This window comes from Homo sapiens, chromosome 19 (genome assembly GCF_000001405.40).
Source record: "Homo sapiens chromosome 19, GRCh38.p14 Primary Assembly".
Taxonomy (NCBI): Eukaryota; Metazoa; Chordata; class Mammalia; order Primates; family Hominidae; genus Homo; species Homo sapiens.
Genome location: NC_000019.10, coordinates 19,890,666 through 19,907,616, shown reverse-complemented (window position 1 = coordinate 19,907,616; position 16,951 = coordinate 19,890,666). Strand labels below are relative to the sequence as shown.

The 16,951-nt window shown below is 41.4% G+C and overlaps 2 protein-coding genes across 4 annotated transcripts in view, besides 4 other annotated features; both read right to left on the bottom strand.

Annotated features, from left to right (window-relative positions):
- The window catches only part of ZNF93 (zinc finger protein 93), a 34,630-nt gene extending 27,959 nt beyond the window's left edge, over positions 1–6,671 (bottom strand). Inside the window, exon 1 of the mRNA NM_031218.4 lies at positions 6,526–6,671. Within this exon, the coding sequence (NP_112495.2) occupies positions 6,526–6,528 (3 nt within the window). The 5' untranslated portion in view covers positions 6,529–6,671. The remainder of the gene's footprint in view (positions 1–6,525) is intronic.
- Positions 4,920–5,469: an enhancer, noted in NCBI's record as "H3K27ac-H3K4me1 hESC enhancer chr19:20012957-20013506 (GRCh37/hg19 assembly coordinates)". NCBI's record gives its function as "activates a minimal SCP1, AML or CMV promoter by ChIP-STARR-seq in primed H9 embryonic stem cells {active_cell/tissue: H9 hESC(primed)}" and the evidence as "EXISTENCE:reporter gene assay evidence [ECO:0000049][PMID:30033119]".
- Positions 6,018–6,567: an enhancer, noted in NCBI's record as "NANOG-H3K27ac-H3K4me1 hESC enhancer chr19:20011859-20012408 (GRCh37/hg19 assembly coordinates)". NCBI's record gives its function as "activates a minimal SCP1, AML or CMV promoter by ChIP-STARR-seq in naive H9 embryonic stem cells {active_cell/tissue: H9 hESC(naive)}" and the evidence as "EXISTENCE:reporter gene assay evidence [ECO:0000049][PMID:30033119]".
- Positions 6,018–6,701: a biological region, named in NCBI's record as "NANOG-H3K27ac-H3K4me1 hESC enhancer GRCh37_chr19:20011859-20012408".
- Positions 6,102–6,701: an enhancer, noted in NCBI's record as "active region_14376". NCBI's record gives its function as "activates an Ori minimal core promoter by ATAC-STARR-seq in GM12878 lymphoblastoid cells {active_cell/tissue: GM12878}" and the evidence as "EXISTENCE:reporter gene assay evidence [ECO:0000049][PMID:35858748]".
- ZNF253 (zinc finger protein 253) overlaps positions 12,943–16,951 on the bottom strand; it is a 28,845-nt gene continuing 24,836 nt past the window's right edge. For 2 of the 3 annotated variants that reach the window (NM_001331133.1, NM_001331134.1), the window contains one exon: positions 14,133–16,143. In NM_001331133.1, the coding sequence (NP_001318062.1) occupies positions 14,870–16,143 (1,274 nt within the window). In that variant the 3' untranslated portion in view covers positions 14,133–14,869. Of the gene's footprint in view, positions 16,144–16,951 lie in introns of all 3 variants that reach the window. The other variant, NM_021047.3, reaches the window with a different exon arrangement.

The following is a 16,951-nucleotide window of genomic DNA, read 5'->3' as shown; positions in this document are numbered from 1 at the left end:
TGAGATCATGCCACTGCACTGCAGCCTGGGCAACAGAGTGAGACTCTGTCTCAAAAAAAAAAAAAAAGAAAAGAAAATGCTGTTAAATTTATATGAATGCAGGTTGTCTGCAAATACTACACATAACTATGCTAATTGTTCTGAAGTAATAAATAGAAAGCAAGGCACAACTACAGACTCCACTGTTCAGTTTACACACTGAACTGTTTTTGCTTTTGCAGTATAAGCACTTCAGCCTGCAAATATTTGATAATTAACTTGAATAATCAGGTTTCTGTCAATGGAACTTAGTATCTTTTAGTCTTTATCATTCGGTATTGCTAAATTTAATCCTATTTTTGTGCTAAGCTTCTGTGTGCTCCTAAAATGAGCTTTTATCTAAACAAATCTGTGTCTACTTTGAAGGACTAAAAATGGAAAAAATAAACTTTTCAGAAGCCAAAACAAAGCAATAAATCTGAAGTACTAGATAAAGACAATCTGGGGTCAGAAAAAATTACAAAAAGTTTATTTAGCTGTTAGTATGATTTACATATATGTTTTAAAAAGCAGAAAAAACATCTATATATAATCTAAATCCCTAAAGAGAAGAGAGAATAGCAAAATTTTTTTGGGAACTTTTTAAAGAATTTTTGAACTCTTGGACACCTCAATTTTGCACACTAGATGCACCTGAAAGAATCTTTATGGGGGAAAAAGCAGAAGAGAAAAAGATGTTATAAAAAAATCCATGAGTGCACAAGACCGACAGAATAGAGAGCCCAGAAATAATGACACCCTCCTACAACCATCAGATTTTTGCCAAAGCTGACAAGAGAAATGTGGGAAGAATTACTTATTTCATAAATGGTGCTCAAATAACTACCTAGCACTATATAGAAGACTGAAACTGGACCCCTTCATTACATCATATACAAAAATCAACTCAGGACAAATTAAACACTTAAATGAAAAACTTAAAATTATAAGAAACCCTGAAAGATAACTAGGAAATACCATTCTAGACACAGAAACCGGCAAAGACTTCATGATGAAGCTACGAAAAGCAACTGTAACAAAAGCAAAAATTGACAAATGGGACCTATTTAAACTAAAGAGGTTTTCACAGCAAAAGAAACTGAGTAAACAGACAACCTACCAAATAAAGGAAAACATTTGCAAACTTTGTCTCTGACAAAGGTCTAATATCCAGAATTTATTAAGAACTTAAACAATTTTACAAGAATAACCAAACAACCTCATTAAAAAGTAGGCAAAAATAACCATGAACAGATGCTTTTCAAAAGCAGGCATACATGTGACTAACAAGCATATGAAAAAAAAGTTCATCACTAATCATTACAGAAATTAAAGAAAAACCACAATGAGATACCACCGCACACCAGTCAGAATGGCTATTTTTAAAAAGTCAAAAGGTAACAGATACTGGCAAGGTGCAGAGAAAGGAGAAAGGAGATGCTTATACTCCGCTGGTGGGAGTGTAAATTAGTTCAACAACTGTAAAAAGCAGTGTGGCGATTCCTCACAGAACTAGTAACAGAATTATCATTTGACCCAGAAACCTTATAATTGGGTATATACCCTGTCAGGCCGAAGAAATATAAATTATTATATTATAAAGACACATCCACATTCATGTTCATTGCAGCACTACTCACAACAGCAAAGACATGGACAGGCCATAAATGCCTATCAATGGTAGAATGAATAAAGAAAATACAGTATGGTCAGATGCGGTGGCTCATGCCTGTAATCCCAGCACTTTGGGAGGCTGAGGCTGGTGGATTGCCTGAGCTCAGAAGTTTGAGACCAGCCTGGCAACATGGCAAAATTCTGTCTCCACGGAAAAAAAAAAAATTGGCCAGGTGTGGTAATGCATATGTGTAGTTTCAGCTACTTGGGAGGATGAGGTAGGAGAGAATTCCTTGAGCCTGGGAGGCTGAGGCTAAAGTAAGCCAATAGCATGCCATGGCACTCTAGCCTGGGCCATAAGTGAGACCAAAAATAAAAGATTTAGCAAAAACAAAATATGGAACATAAACATCATGGAATACTCTGTGGCCATTTAAAAAAAAATCATGTTCTTTGCAATAACTTTGATGAAGCTGGAGACCATTATTCTTAGAAAACTAATGCAGAAATAGAAAACCAAATGCATGTTGTTATTTACAAGGGAGAGCTAAATAATAAGAACCCATAAACACAAAGAGAAAAACAACAGACACTGAGGCCTAGTTGAGGGTGGAGGGTGGGAGGAGTAAGAGGATCAGAAAATATACCTGTTTGGTGCTATGTTTAGTACCTCAGTGAAAAAATAATCTGCACACCAAATCCCCATAACATAATTTCAGCTGTATAACAAACCCACATGGGTACCTCAAACCAAAAATAAAAGCTAAAAGAAAAAAAAAAATCCCTGAGTGAGAGAGAGCACAATGTAGGTGAAAGGACTGATTTTTGCTACAGATAGTGGCCCAAGTGGGGCTGTACCCTGATTTGTTTCCGTGCGAATGCAGGCAGGTGAGATTATGAACAGGTGGTCCAGACCCTAGGTTGGTGGAGAAAACAGGTTGCTGCTGCAGATTCAGTGTCTGGGGGTGGGGATATGCCAGGAGACTTGTAGACACTTGTGAATTCTTTGAAAAAAACACAGATCAAAAATGCCACGGTGAGGTTCCTGAGGGTAGTGCATAGTTCTGGGAGAAGTGTGGACATGTCAATGTCTAGTGTGTGTGTTTTTGTGAGTGGGTGGGAATCCTGTGGTGGCAGCTGTGAGAAAAGGGAGTCTGTCATCAGAGCTCATTTTCTCTAAGTTTTCAGTCATCTCTCACCCTGGGAGAAGACCTGGAATTTCAGGACAATGGGCAGCGTGACAGCCTGTGTAGAGGAGAGCAGAGACTCCCATTCCCAAACACCCAGAGTTTTATTCCAGGCTAGGGCTCCATGATATCCTTTTTCTGGCACCAAATCTGTAGTTTGCTGAACATCAAACAATTCTCCAACACCAACTCATTGTCTAACATTTGAATTCTGACACCACACACAGCACAGACCCTGATTCAGGGCTCAGTTCCACAACATTGTCCTCACTGCAGATGCCAGACACAAACCCCATGGGCCCATCTATGCTTCTGAGCTGCTGTTTAAAAACTGGGGACTCCTATCACCTCCACGAAACTCAACAATTTGGTAGAGCTACTCACAGAACTCAGCAAAACACTGTAGTTATGTTTACTGGTTTCATATATAAGATGCAGCCCAGGAAAAGCCAAAAGGAAGAAATGCATAGAACAAAGAAAAGAGATGGGGAAAGATGAAACACATAGATAATCCTGGAAAATATTTGTGATTAATACAATTCTCCGTCCTTTGTGTGCTCCAGAAACAGTTTATAGAAAAACTCTTTCCCTTATGACTTAGTGCTCTCTTTTCTTACCTATCACACAGCCAGACACACACTCTGCACATTTTCTCCTATTTCTCATTCAAAAAAAAAAAAATCAGCTGTATTTGTCTTCGGTGGTCAAAATAAAATATTTCTTTTTTTTTTTTTTTTTCCAGCCAGAATCTCGCTCTGTTGCCCAGGCTGGAGTGCAGCGGCGCAATCTCGGTTCACTGCAACCTCTGCCTGCAGGGTTCAAGCAATTCTCCTGCCTCAGCCTCCCAAGTTTCTAGGATTACAAGCGCCCGCCTAGTTTTTGTATTTGTAGTACACACAGGGTTCCACCACGTTGGCCAGGCTGGTCTTGAACTCCTAACCTCAGGTGATCCGCCTGCCTCTGCCTCCCACAGTGCTCGGATTACAGGTGTGAGCCACCGCGCCTGGCCTGAAATATTTTTTTCTGTTTGTTTGTTTTCAGAGTCTTGCTCTGTCGCCAAGCTGGAGTGCTGTGGCTTGATCTGGCTCACTGCAACCTCTGCTTCTCGGGTTCTAGCGATTCTCCTGCCTCAGCCTCCTGAGTAGCTGGGAATACAGGTGGGCGCCAACATGCTGAGTTAATTTTTGTATTTTTAGTAACGATGGAGTTTCACCACGTTGGCCAGGATGGTCTCGATCTCCTGACCTCGTGACCTGTCCGCCTTGGCCTCCCAAAGTGCTGGGATTACCAGCACTGGTAATCCCAGTGCTGGCCTCCCAAAGGCATAAGCCACCGGGCCAGGCCTAAAATAAAATATTTCCTAATCAAACTTTACTTAGGTTTATCTCCCTTCCTCAGGCTCCTGAACTTTGAGCTACCCTCACTCTGAGTCAACATACAGCCCCACTTTACATCCCTCCTAAGAACATGCTGATTTCAGGGTAAGACATTCTCTGATGTAAAATCTGACTTTTTCACCCTCCATTTGCCATTCCCCTCCCACCTCCTTTCTAATCTTGTTTGCTCCTCCCTAGGGAGAAAAGCCCTTTTCTGCCTACATTTTTGCAAGCCATAAAGATTTTAGAGTTAGTTGGTACTTCCTCCTGTTGTAATACTTTTTTGAAATTCATCTTTTACATAAATTAACGTTTTTATTTTACAAAGTCTAAAATGTTCCTCAAAACAATAACAACTTCATCGTCAGTAAGATCCTCCCAAAGGCCGGGCGCGGTGGCTCACGCCTGTAATCCCAGCACTTTGGGAGGCCGAGGCGGGTGGACCATGAGGTCATGAGATCGAGACCATCCTGGCTCACACGGTGAAACCCCGTCTCTATTAAAAAAATTTTTTTTAATTAGCCGGGCGTGGTGGTGGGTGCCTGTAGTCCCAGCTACTCGGGAGGCTCAGGCAGGAGAATGGCGTGAACCCGGGAGGCGGAGCTTGCAGTGAGTCGAGATCGCACCACTGCACTCCAGCCTGGGCGACAGAGCGAGACTCCATCTCAAAAAAAAAAAAAAAAGATCCTCCCAGTTTCCTTTCATCTTAACCTTAACTGCATCTGCTTGTGGGGCCCCAGCTTTCTGGGGCTCTGTACCTTCTCTCAGAATAACGCCTCCTTCCATGGCTCCGGTGAATAGGCTGGGACATCTGCAGGGGAGGCTCCCCAGAAAAAGCTAAATAGGACTTTATAAACTCCTGTTGGCTGGGCCCTGTGGCTCATGCCTGTAATCCCAGCACTTCAGGAGGCCAAGGCAGGCAGATCACCAGAGGCCGGGAGCTCGAGACCAGCCTGACCAACATGGAGAAAACCCGTCTCTACTAAAAACACAAAATCAGCCAAGCATGATGGTGCATGCCTGTAATCCCAGCTACTTGAGAGGCTGAGGCAGGAGAATCGCTTGAACCCAGGAGGTGGAGATTTCAGTGAGCCATGATTGCGCCACTGTACTCCACCTGGGCAACAAGAGCAAAACGCAAAACTCTGTCCAAAAAAAAAACCTTCTGTTTTAGGCTTAATATTAGCCTTAGCTTGGAGTCACTAGGCTCAAGCTTTGTCATGTCAGAGTTATTCACTTGGTTTTTGAAACTCAGTGTTTGAAAAATCCGTGAAATTACTCAAACACAGTATTTACATAAGGGAAGGAAATTTTAAGATGTCTATTTTTTTTTTAAGACGGAGTCTCACTTTGTCACCAAGGCTGGAGTACAATGGCAAGCTCTCGGCTCACTGCACCTCGCCTCCCAGGTTCAAGCAATTCTCGTGCGTCAGCCTCCCAAGTAGCTGGGATTACAGACGCCTGCCACCAATCCCGGCTAATTTTTGTATTTTTAGTAGAGACGGGGTTTCACTATGTTGGCCAGGCTGGCCTAGAACTCCTGACCTTGTGATCCACCCGCCACGGCCTCACAAAGTGCTGGGATTACAGGCATCAGCCACCGCGCTGGGCCAGGAAGGGGATTTAACCCTAACGCAGTTCCGGTTTTTGTGTCCTTCCCATATTGGCTGAGGTCCCACCGCACAATCTAAGCTGATCCTGGTTGGGCTAGACACAAACTTTTTCCATATAGGGTAAACGCGCGATGTTTTGAGAAAAGGAGAATGGGGAAAAAGAAGGGGTAGGGTTGATTTACAATTTTTACAACTTATGACCAGGAAGTTGAGTCTCTGAAGAGGAACTTAGCTGCCCTAACAACTCCTCAAGTGATCCGCCCGCCTCGGCCTCCCAAACTGCTGCGATTACAGGAGTGAGCCACCTTGCCCAGCCCCATAAATTTTTAATAGGAGAAAAGAGAAACTGTGAACCCAACCCACTAAAGCTCTTCCCATTCGTGAACCCGCACTCCGAGTCAGGATTCTCCCCTGACGACTCTCCCGTGGTCTCTGCACAATCTGGGAGAGAAGCGGCTCTGCGGGTGCGCAGCTGCCCAGCGAGGGCTCCAAGCCAGGGCACAGTCACCGCACAGTGAAGAGACAGGACGCCTGGGGGCTGCGCTATAAGCGCAGCCGCCATCTTATGGCTGAAGGGAACCGAGGCCGAGCTGGGCAAGAACTCCGGCGCAGATTGTGGAGCTGACTAAGGGGATACCTGAGTCCCGCCACCGTCACTTTCCACCGGTTCCAACCAGCCCCTCCCCGTCGCTTGGGATGTCGGACCGGCACTCTCACCATTTCTAGGCTTCCAGGGGTCCTGGTGTCTTAGCTGTGGATCTCCCAATACCTGCAGGTCACAGGGCCACAGAGGCTGGGCCTGTAGGAGCACAGGACACAGAGTAGTGAAGAGGAGACCTGGAGCTCCGGCTGCACCGAGAGACAAAGGACCCGCCAAACCAGAAGCCGCCCTGTTCGGTCCGGCTGCTTGCCTGATTGGACGTTTCCAGCCCAGCGTCCCTGATTGGATAATTCTTAAGGTCCCGCCCCCTCAGGACCTGAGTGACAGAAGATGTGATCACATGCTGGGCTGAGTGAAGAAGAGTAACAGCCTAAGCTGCAGCCTTTTCAGCCAGGGCTTCCTCTCTGAGCTGAGCCACGTCCACCCCAGAGCATGGGAACATTCTCTTTTTTACTCTCTCTTTTTGAATGTATTGAAAAGGTGAACAGAAGTATTTCGTTGTCATATTAATAATACCGTTGGAAGTAAAGTGTTTGGTGTCGCAAAGTGAAACCAGTACTCAGGCAAAAGTTTTTTTAGTAAGGCAATTTACTTCTGCAAAAGGTTTTTGTTTGCATTAATCACGATCGCAAGAGCACCCTGAACAAAGGAGGGAAGGGGTTTTTATTTTTAACGTAAAGTCTCTTCCTCTGTGTTACTCCCCCATGGGCTAGGGTCGGACCCCACAATCTAAACTGACCCGATTGGCTATTTGTAAATATTTTTCCAAATAAGGAAGGGAAGGGGCATGTATAAGTCACAGTGGTGGGACGTGTGGTTTTGAAGGGTGGGAAGGCTGCAGAGTGAGTAATCAAGGGAACAGATGTGAATTATTGATTAGAGCTGTTGGGAAGGAAGGTTGTTACAGTAACTAGGGGCAAGGAGGCATGGAGAACAAGCAAGTTGAGTTTGAGAACAAAGAACAAGAAAGTTAAGACTAAACCTTTGAAGAGGAATTTTATTGTATTTTACAATTTCCCCCTTTTAATTTTTATAATTAAAAAAAAACCTTTTTTTTTGAGATGGAGTTTTTGCTCTTGCTGCCTAGGCTGGAGTGCAATGGCACGATTTTGGCTCACTACAACATTTGCCTCCCAGGTTCAAGCAATTCTCCTGCCTCAGCCTCCCGAGTAGCTGGGAGTACAGGCATGTGCCACCACGACCAGCTAATTTTGTGTCTTTAGTATAGATGGGGCTTCTTCATATTGGTCAGGCTGGTCTCTAACTTCTGACCTCGGGTGATCCGCCCGCATCAGCCTCTCAAAGTGCTGGGATTACAGGCGTGAGCCACTGCGACCACACGCTTTTTAAAACTTTTTAAACATACCTTTACTTTGTTGTTTGACTTGATCTTTTAAAAGGAAAAGTTTATCTGAATAAGGTGGAGGAGAACTAAGGGAGGTTTTCGTAAGTGTCGTTTTTATAAGTCTTTGTACTAGCCCACAGATGCATGGTATGACACAACACCCAACAAGAATTAGTACACCTATTACAACTATAAGAGAAGTAAGAATTGAGGCTATGACTTTTTTTCGTTTACTGAACCACCTCTCTAGCCATTCTGAAAACGTGTTATTGACCCCAGAATTTTTAGCTAATTCATTGGATAAAGTGGTAAGTTCGTGTAAGGCCCTTCTTATGTTCCTATTGGGGGCAGTATTGTTTGGGATGAAGGTACAACATTTGAGTTTTAATCATAACACAAACTCCACCTTTTTCAGCTAATATTATGTCCAGGGCCATTTTGTTTTTCTAAGTTATCTGGCTAGTAGGCCTTAATTGGTTGGCTATTTCTTTGACAGCATTTCTGGTGTAATTAATAAACTAATATTGATTATAATAGATGTGATTTATCTATCTAATCTACATTTTTATTAATAGTTACCCGTGGAAATATTGATTTAAATCCTGCAGCTATTTGATCTTGGGCTTTGAATTCATCAGGTACCACCCGTGGGACTCCAGTTGTGTCTAAATAAACTTGAAAGTCAAAAGACACATAAGGGGCTTCTCTTATTTTACAGTGTTGTGGTTTTTCTTTTTCTAGTCGATGAAATGCCAGAGTGAAAGGGATAGCCAACTGGACAACAGTGCAAGTGCCGTTCCAGTTACTTGGCAGAGTGTCCAGTAAGGGTCCACCACAATACCACCATATATTTGCTCAAAGATGAACAAGGGAAGACTGACTGGTAAGATCTTGGAAAGGCTTAAGCTCACTGTATCCCATTAAGTCTCCAAGAAATGCCAAGTTTTCCCCTTGTCGTGAGAGACACGAGGTAAAATTGACGCTAGGAGATGGAGGCTGGATGGCTCTTGGGGCCTGACCCACAGGGTGTTGGACTTTAAGAAATAGCAGAGAGAGAGCTCAGCAGGATTTATTACCCTAGGCTGTGGGGTCTTGGAAAAGAGCTACTATACAGTTTATGCCTGGTCAACTAGAAGACCATCTGAGTGGGAAAGGGACAATTTGGGCCTCTGGCTGGCCGCGTGCACAAGCATAACAATTGCTTTTGCTTAATGTGTGCACAGAATATTTGATCCATTTTAACCAGGCATTTGTATCTTGGTATCTTGTTTTAATTGTTAAAGTTTGCCTTAAATTAGTTACTTTTACAATATCTATTTTAGTCTTATCACTGGGCATAGAAGATATGACAGTCTGGTTAGAAAAGAGCTTAGAAGAGAGGGGAGTGAAGAGCATGAGGGATGATTAGACGCATTTTGAAAGACCCTATGAGATTTGTGCCAGCCAAGTTGGGTCTTATGCCATAGAAGCAGCTCAAATCAAAGTGGGGTTAGGATCCATAGAAGTGGGGGTGAGAATAGAAATTTGCACCAGATTACATTGGTTAAACTGGCAATTGGAAGGAGTGTTTCCTTTAGCAAAGCAAATATATGGCTTTAAGGACATACAACCACTTGTTGATGAGGTCCAGCCCTGATATTCGATTGTTTATAAAACATCATTCCAGCTGTGGCAGGCCTGTTTTTTTTACATTTGTTAAAGAACAGGAGTCGTGTTAGGGGGAGCCTCTTGTCCAAAAGTGACAGAGATATTTCTCTGAGGCTGAGAGCTGTTTTTGACTCTGGAGATTTTCACAGGGCATAATGAGGCAAGCACTAAAGGAAATAGTTTGGGGTGAGCCCAACCTAGTTACATTAATAACGAGAGGATTAGCAATAGAAGGGGAAAAGGAGAAGGAGTAACAGAACAGATGGAAGATAGGTAAATTTTCTTAGCTTTAGTTTGGAAGGGTTCTCCCCTGGAACTATGGCCCATGATTCTGGAGAGGGTGTAGCAGGACGAGCCACAGACAAAACTCCTCAGACACCGAGTTAAAGAAGGAAGGGGTTTATTCAGCCAGGGGCATTGGCAAGACTCCTGTCTCAAGAGCTGAGCTCCCCAAGTGAGCAATTCCTGTCCCTTTTAAAGGTTCACAACTCTAAGGGGATGTGTGTGAGAGGGTCATGATTGATTGAGCAAGCAGGGGGTACATGACTGGGGGCTGCATGCACCGGTAGTTAGATTAGAACAAAACAGGATAGGGATTTTCACAGTGCATTTCTATACAATGTCTGTAATCTGTAGATAACATAACCGATTAGGTCAGGGGTTGATCTTTAACTACCAGGCCCAGGGTGTGGCGCTGGGCTGTCTGCTTGTGGATTTCATTTCTGCCTTTTAGTTTTTACTTTTTCTTTCTTTGGAAGCAGAAATTGGGCATAAGACAATATGAGGGGTGGTCTCCTCCCTTATTCCCCCACTTTGAGACTCTCAATAGTGGGAGTTCTCACTTTTATTTTTACTACCTATGTTTTCTTGCAAGACAGATCGATAGTGATTCATATATTACACTTGTGCTGAAGCATTTTGGTGAACCAAGGTAACAATGAAGCTTTTTATCATCTGAAGAAGTACAGGTAGCAAACAAGGGAGCAGTAAGCAGATTCCTATTACTATTATAACTTTTATTATAAGAGTTTTAAATCCTCTTAGCGCTGGGAACCATTTTCTAAACATGGCCCCAGGATCAAATCCATGCCACACTTGCATGGGCACGTGTGCCAGTTTTGTCATATCTCTAACTATGTCTTCAACAACTGGCCCTTGATTATCTATGTGTAGGCAGCAATTAGTAAGGTTAAATTTCCTGCAGACCCCTCATTCAGCTGCTGGCAAGTAGTCGAGGGCTAATCTATTTTGATATATAGCATTTCTCATCTGAGTTTCTTGCCAGGCCAGAATAGTCAAGGCTCTGCTGGTTTTATTAGTGATTATTTTTAAGACAGCTTGTAACCATATGATTCGGTTGATCATGTAAATGGGGGTCCGGTATCCCCATGAGCCATCTTGTGCCTAAGTAGCAGGCCTATAATATTGTATGATTCTCTCAGGGGGCCATTTATCATTTTTTCAATTTCTTATAGCTATGATTCTCTTTTCGCGGGAAGCGTAGACAGGGAAGCCAAGGAGTTTGCCTGTTTTTATGGGCAGTAGGAAGAAAGATGGTTTAATAGTGCCAATAACACAACTACCTGCCTACTGGTCAGTAATCTGTCATAAGCTCTATGCCTACATATCCAGTATAATCCAGTGGGGGCTGTCCAGTCCCGGTGGGACTCCAGGTGGGTCCAGTTTGCAACTTTGAGAATTTACTAAATTTTCTCTCTGTGTGATTTGAACTCCACCAAGTGATTGTTTTTGTGGTACCATTATACAGTTTCTGTCTCCGACAACTAAGTCATCCTACGCGGTGAGTGAATTCTTTTCCTTCTCTAGCTATGCAATATTGTTTAATAATTGAGGCTTTTAGGATCAGAAATTATCAGGGTGATTCTTTTGAGCCAGGAATTCATCAGGTACTGTAGGTACTAATTCTCAGGCTTCCCATGGCCATTGATCTCTTATTACAGCTTCTCCACATACATAACATGAAGTGACATTGAGAGACTGGGCTACATGCTTGGCTAATTGCAAAAACAAATTTCTTGTTTTTCCTGGAATTTCTGGTACTGGCACATTTAGTTCATCATAGAAAGTTTGAAACACTGGCTCAGGAGAGTCTTTGTAAGCTTCTCGAACCAAGATATTTACTCAAGGATCCAGTCTGGCCCCGTCGATTCCTAAGGTCACATGCTCCTCTTTTTTTCTAGCGAGGATCAAGGGGATTGGTTATGACTAGCTCTAAGGGGTTACATTGTCCCTGAGTACAGGAAGGGCCATTTTTTCCTTTCTGAAGGTGGGATGGATCTTTTTCATTTTTTTTTTTAATCCAAGTGGCCTAAATGACACAAGACCAGTGTTCACATTTATTTCCACACAGTGCTAATTTATGACAGTTGTATTTATTTTCTGCCATATAGCCTCTTTTCTAATTAAGAGAACCACACCTTATTCCTAACTTATTACTATTAATGACAGCACAGGCATCAAATTTTAAGGTGACTTGTTTGGGCACCCCTTTTTCTTCTGTTTTAGCTAACACTTTACTCATATCATTTATGAGCCCCAACCAGTCCTCAGTCCTTAATCTTATTTAAAAAACTGTCCCTCCAGGGTTCAAGCAATTCTCCTGCCTCAGCCTCCAGGCATGCACGACCACGTCCAGCTAATTTTTGTATTTTTAGTAGAGACGGGGTTTCACCATATTGGCCAGGCTGATCTTGAACTCCTGACCTCAGGCAATCCACCTGCTTCATTAAATTATGCACTAAAAGTGTATAATTACACTGTTTGTAATACAAATGATAAACGCTAGAGGTGACGGATATCTTATTTACCCTAATGAAATTTCTACATATTGTATGCCTGAATCAAAATATACCATATAAGGCATAAATATATACACATACAATATACCCACAAATACTAATAATAAATTTCAGTAAGAAAAAAATAGGCAGGGTGCGGTGGCTTATGCCTGTAATCCCAGCACTTTGGGAGGCCGAGGTGGGCGAATCACTTCAGGTCAGGAGTATGGGACCAGCCTGGCCAACATGGTGAAACCCCGTCTCTACTAAAAATACAAAAATTAACCAGGCATGGTGGCGCACACCTGTAATCTGAGAACTCCCACGTTCAAGCAATTCTCTTGCCTCAGCCTCCTGAATAGCTGGGATTACAGGCATGTGCCATCATGCCCAGCTAATTTTTGTATTTTTAGTAGAGGTGGGGTTTCTCAGTGTTGGTCAGGCTGGTCTCGATCTCCTGACCTCAAGTGATCCATCTGCCTCAGCCTCCCAAAGTGCTAGGATTACAGGCATGAGCCACTGCACCCATCCCATACAACTTTATATTTAAAGAACCATAAATATTATATTAAAACCTGTCTAAACCAATAAATATACCTGGCTGTATTTTAATATTTTTAACTATAATTAATAATTTCTTTCTGTCACTATAATGTAGAAAAGCATTACTCTGAAACCCCACCTTATTTTTTATCTTTGCTTATTAATAAAATAATTCATTATGATTTTTGAAAAAAAGTTTTAAGATGTTCCGCATACATGTTAATGTAGGTTAGACCATCCAAAAGACATTCAAAGCATCAACATTAAGTCATTGGCTAGGATTATAGAAATGAGAACATGAACCCCCACCTTACACATTACTTAATATCAGTTAACTACAAAGAGCCTCTCCACTTATATTTTCATCATGCATCTTACATTTTAATGTCCTTACTCTTTTATAGAAAAGGTCATACATAATGCCCAACTAATAAAAAACAATCTCTAATATCTCTAATGCAGCAACAATTGATCACATGCTTTCACATGTGAATATAATAGGAATAAAATAGCATAAAGCAATGTGAAAGCTGTATTATATCATTATTCACTTTTCAAAAAAATTTTTTCAAGAAAACAAGTATACTTTCAATGTAATTACAGTGCTTCAAAAATCCACTTTTTAAAAAATTATATAGAAATAATTTATCTAACAGCTGTAGCTGTGGATTAGTTTTTATACTGAACATTCTGATTTAGTGTAATGTCTGAAGTGTCAGTGCCTTAATTATTCTATGGAAAATTCTCTGATATTTACATAGAATCAATTTTGAATTAAATATTTTTTGATATTTACTGCATCTGCAAAAATATATTTTGGTATAAACCCTCTGGTGTTTTCTAAGCTGTCATTTTTGGAAAAGAAAAGTCTTTCCATTCATTACATTTGCAGTACTATTCTCAATATAAATTCCCTTGATTCCCTGAAACAAAGCTTGAGCAACTGCTTCAGGGTTTTCCTCTAGTACTACATGTGTGCACTAAGATCTGTGACACAAGTAAAGGCACTACAACCCCCTTTATATTTGTAATGGCTGTCTTCAGAATAAATATTCTTCACTTTAAAGACTTCTATTTTCTGAAAGATTTTTTGACAGTAATTGCACTTTTAATGCTTTATTAACTATGAACCTTCTTCTGTTCAGTAAGATGTGAGTAGGCATTAATGGTTTTTCCATATTCTTTGTATTTGCACAATTTTTCTCAAGGATAAGAGCTTTCCTGTGAAATAAGGTATAAGCACTAATAAAATATTTTGCCACATTCTTCACACTTACAGGAGTTTTGGCAGTATGACTTCTATCACCTACAATCATGTATGACAATCATATAAAGGCTTTGTCACATTTTATACATTTCTAGGGTATTACACTAGTATAATTTATTTTTATGTATAGGAAATGTGGAGGTGTTGGTAAAAGCAATGTCGCATCTTTCAGGTTTCCAGATTTCCTCTTCAGCATGAATTATCGCCATGTCTCTTAAGAATTAAGAACTTGTAGCCAGGCATGGTGTCTCTTAAGAATTAAGAACTTGTAGCCAGGCATGGTGGCTCACGCCTGTAACCCCAGCACTTTGGAAGGCCAAGGCAGGTGGATCACCTGAGGTCAGGAGTTCGAGACCAGCCTGGCCAACATTGTGAAACCCCATCTCTACTAAAAATCCAAAAATTAGCCAGGCGTGGTGTTGGGCACCTGTAATCCCAGCTACTTGGGAGGCTGAGGCAGAAGAATGGCTTAAACCCAGGAGGCAGAGATTGCAGTGAACGGAGATCATGTCATTGCACTCCAGCCTCGGTGACAAGAGTGAAACTCCATCTCAAAAAAAAAGGAATTGAGAACTTGTTATAGGTTTATAGGTTTTGCCACATTCTTCACACTTGTAGGGCTTCTGTTTGGTATGAATTATGTGTAATAAGGGTTGAGAACTTCCTTAAAAAGCTTTGTCACATTCTTTATATTTGTAGGGTTTGTGTTCCATATAAACTCTCAAATTTACTAAGAGTCGAGGGCTGGTTAAAGGCTTTCCCACATTCATCACATTCATAGGGTTTCTCTCCAGTATGAATTATCTTATGCTAATTAAAAGTGGAGGAACATTTAAAAGATCTGTCACATTCTTCACTATGTAGGGTTTTCGTTCAATATGAATTTTCTTATGTTTATTAAGGTCTGAGGACCAGTTAAAAGCTTTGCCACATTCTTCACATTTGTAAGGTTTCTCTCCAGTATGAATTCTCTTATGTGTAGTTAGAGTTGAGGATGCAGTAAAGGATTTGCCACATTCTTCACATTTGTAGGGTTTCTCTCCAGTATGAGTTCTTTTATGTTTGGAGAGGATTGAGGGCCAGGTAAAGGTTTTGCCACATTCATCACATTTGTAGGGTTTCTCTCCAGTATGAATTTTCTCATGTGAAAAAAGGGTTGTGGAATGGTTAAAAGCTTTGCCACATTCTCTACATCTGTAGGGTTTCTCTCCAGTATGAAGTATCTTATGTGTAGTAAGGTGTGAGGATAGGTGAAAGGCTTTGCCACATTCTTCACATTTGTAGGGTTTCTCTCCTGTATGAATTCTCTTATGTATAGTAAGGTTAGAGCAGTGCTTAAAGGATTTGCCACATTCTTCACAGTTGTAGGGTTTCCCTCTAGTATGAATTTTCTTATGTGTGGTAACGTGTGAGGGGTGCTTAAAGGCTTTGCCACATTCTTCACATTTGTAGGGTTTCTCTCCAGTATGAACTATCTTATGTGTAGTAAGGTCTGTGGATCGGTTGAAGGCTTTGCCACATTCTTCACATTTGTAGGGTTTCTCTCCAGTATGAATTTTCTTATGTGTAGTAAGGTTTGAGGACTGCTTAAAGGCTTTGCCACATTCTTCACATCTGTAGGGTTTCTCTCCGGTATGAATTCTCTTATGTGTAGTAAGGTTTGCAGATTGGTTAAAAGCTTTGCCACATTCTTCACATCTGTAAGGTTTCTCTCCAGTATGAATTTTCTTATGTGTAGTAAGGGTTGAGGACCGTTTAAAAGCTTTGCCACATATTATACATTTGAAAAGATTTATTCCAGTATGTCTTGTCTTATATGTGTTTGAATTTGAAAACTTATGAAAGACTTTTCCATATTTATCACATTGAAATATTTCTTTCTGGGTAGTTGTCAAACATTGGTTAAGTCCATTATAACCTCCTTTGTGCACCTTATGCTCACCCACGCTTTTACAGCCTTTTTTTAACTGTAAATTGTCATGTCTGCATTCTTCATATCTTCTCAGCATCCCTATTTGGAAAGAATTTTGTATGTTCTCTGGCCAAAGGTCTTGGGCAAAATGAGAACTCATAACTAAAAGAAACAATAAAAACACATTACTTCAATTGCTAGACTCAGATAAATATACATTACAAATCTAACCTATAAAATTATACAAACTACATAAGCAAGATGACATAGCAAAATACCACCAGTTCTGATTTCTTCCTGGACACATAAATGTAACAAAAACATAGTGACAAAAATAAAATTGTAAAAAATTTATAAATGAGTTAAGTGTGTGAAGGGCTCCAGGTGAGCAGAATGCAAATAGCCACATAGAAGAAAAAGAAAGCTCTGTTAGTTATACCCAACACAGCTCTTCCTGCTGCCCAGTATAACATTGTGCTTTTAAAAGTAAATTGCCAGTTGGGCATGGTGGCTCACGCCTGTAATCACAGCACTTTGGGAGGCTGAGGTGGGTGGATCATGAGGTCGGGAGTTCAAGACCAGCCTGGCCAAGATGGTGAAACCTTGTCTCTACTAAAAATACAAAAAATTAGCCAGACATGGTGGCGGGCACATTTAATCCCAGCTACTCGGAGGGCTGCGGCAGAGAATTGCTTGAACCAGGGAGGCAAAGACTGCAGTGAGCCAAGATTGCACCACTGCACTCCAGCCTGGGCAACAGAGTGAGACGCCATCTCAAAAAAAAAAAAAAAAAAAAAAAAAAATTAAATTGTTGGCCAGGCATGATGGCTAATGCCTGTAACCCCAGCACTTTGGTAAGGCAAGGCAGGTGGATCACCTAAGGTGAGGAGACTGAGACCAGCCTGACCAACATGGTGAAACCCCATCTCAACTAAAAATACAGAAAATTAGCCAGGCATGGTAACAGGTA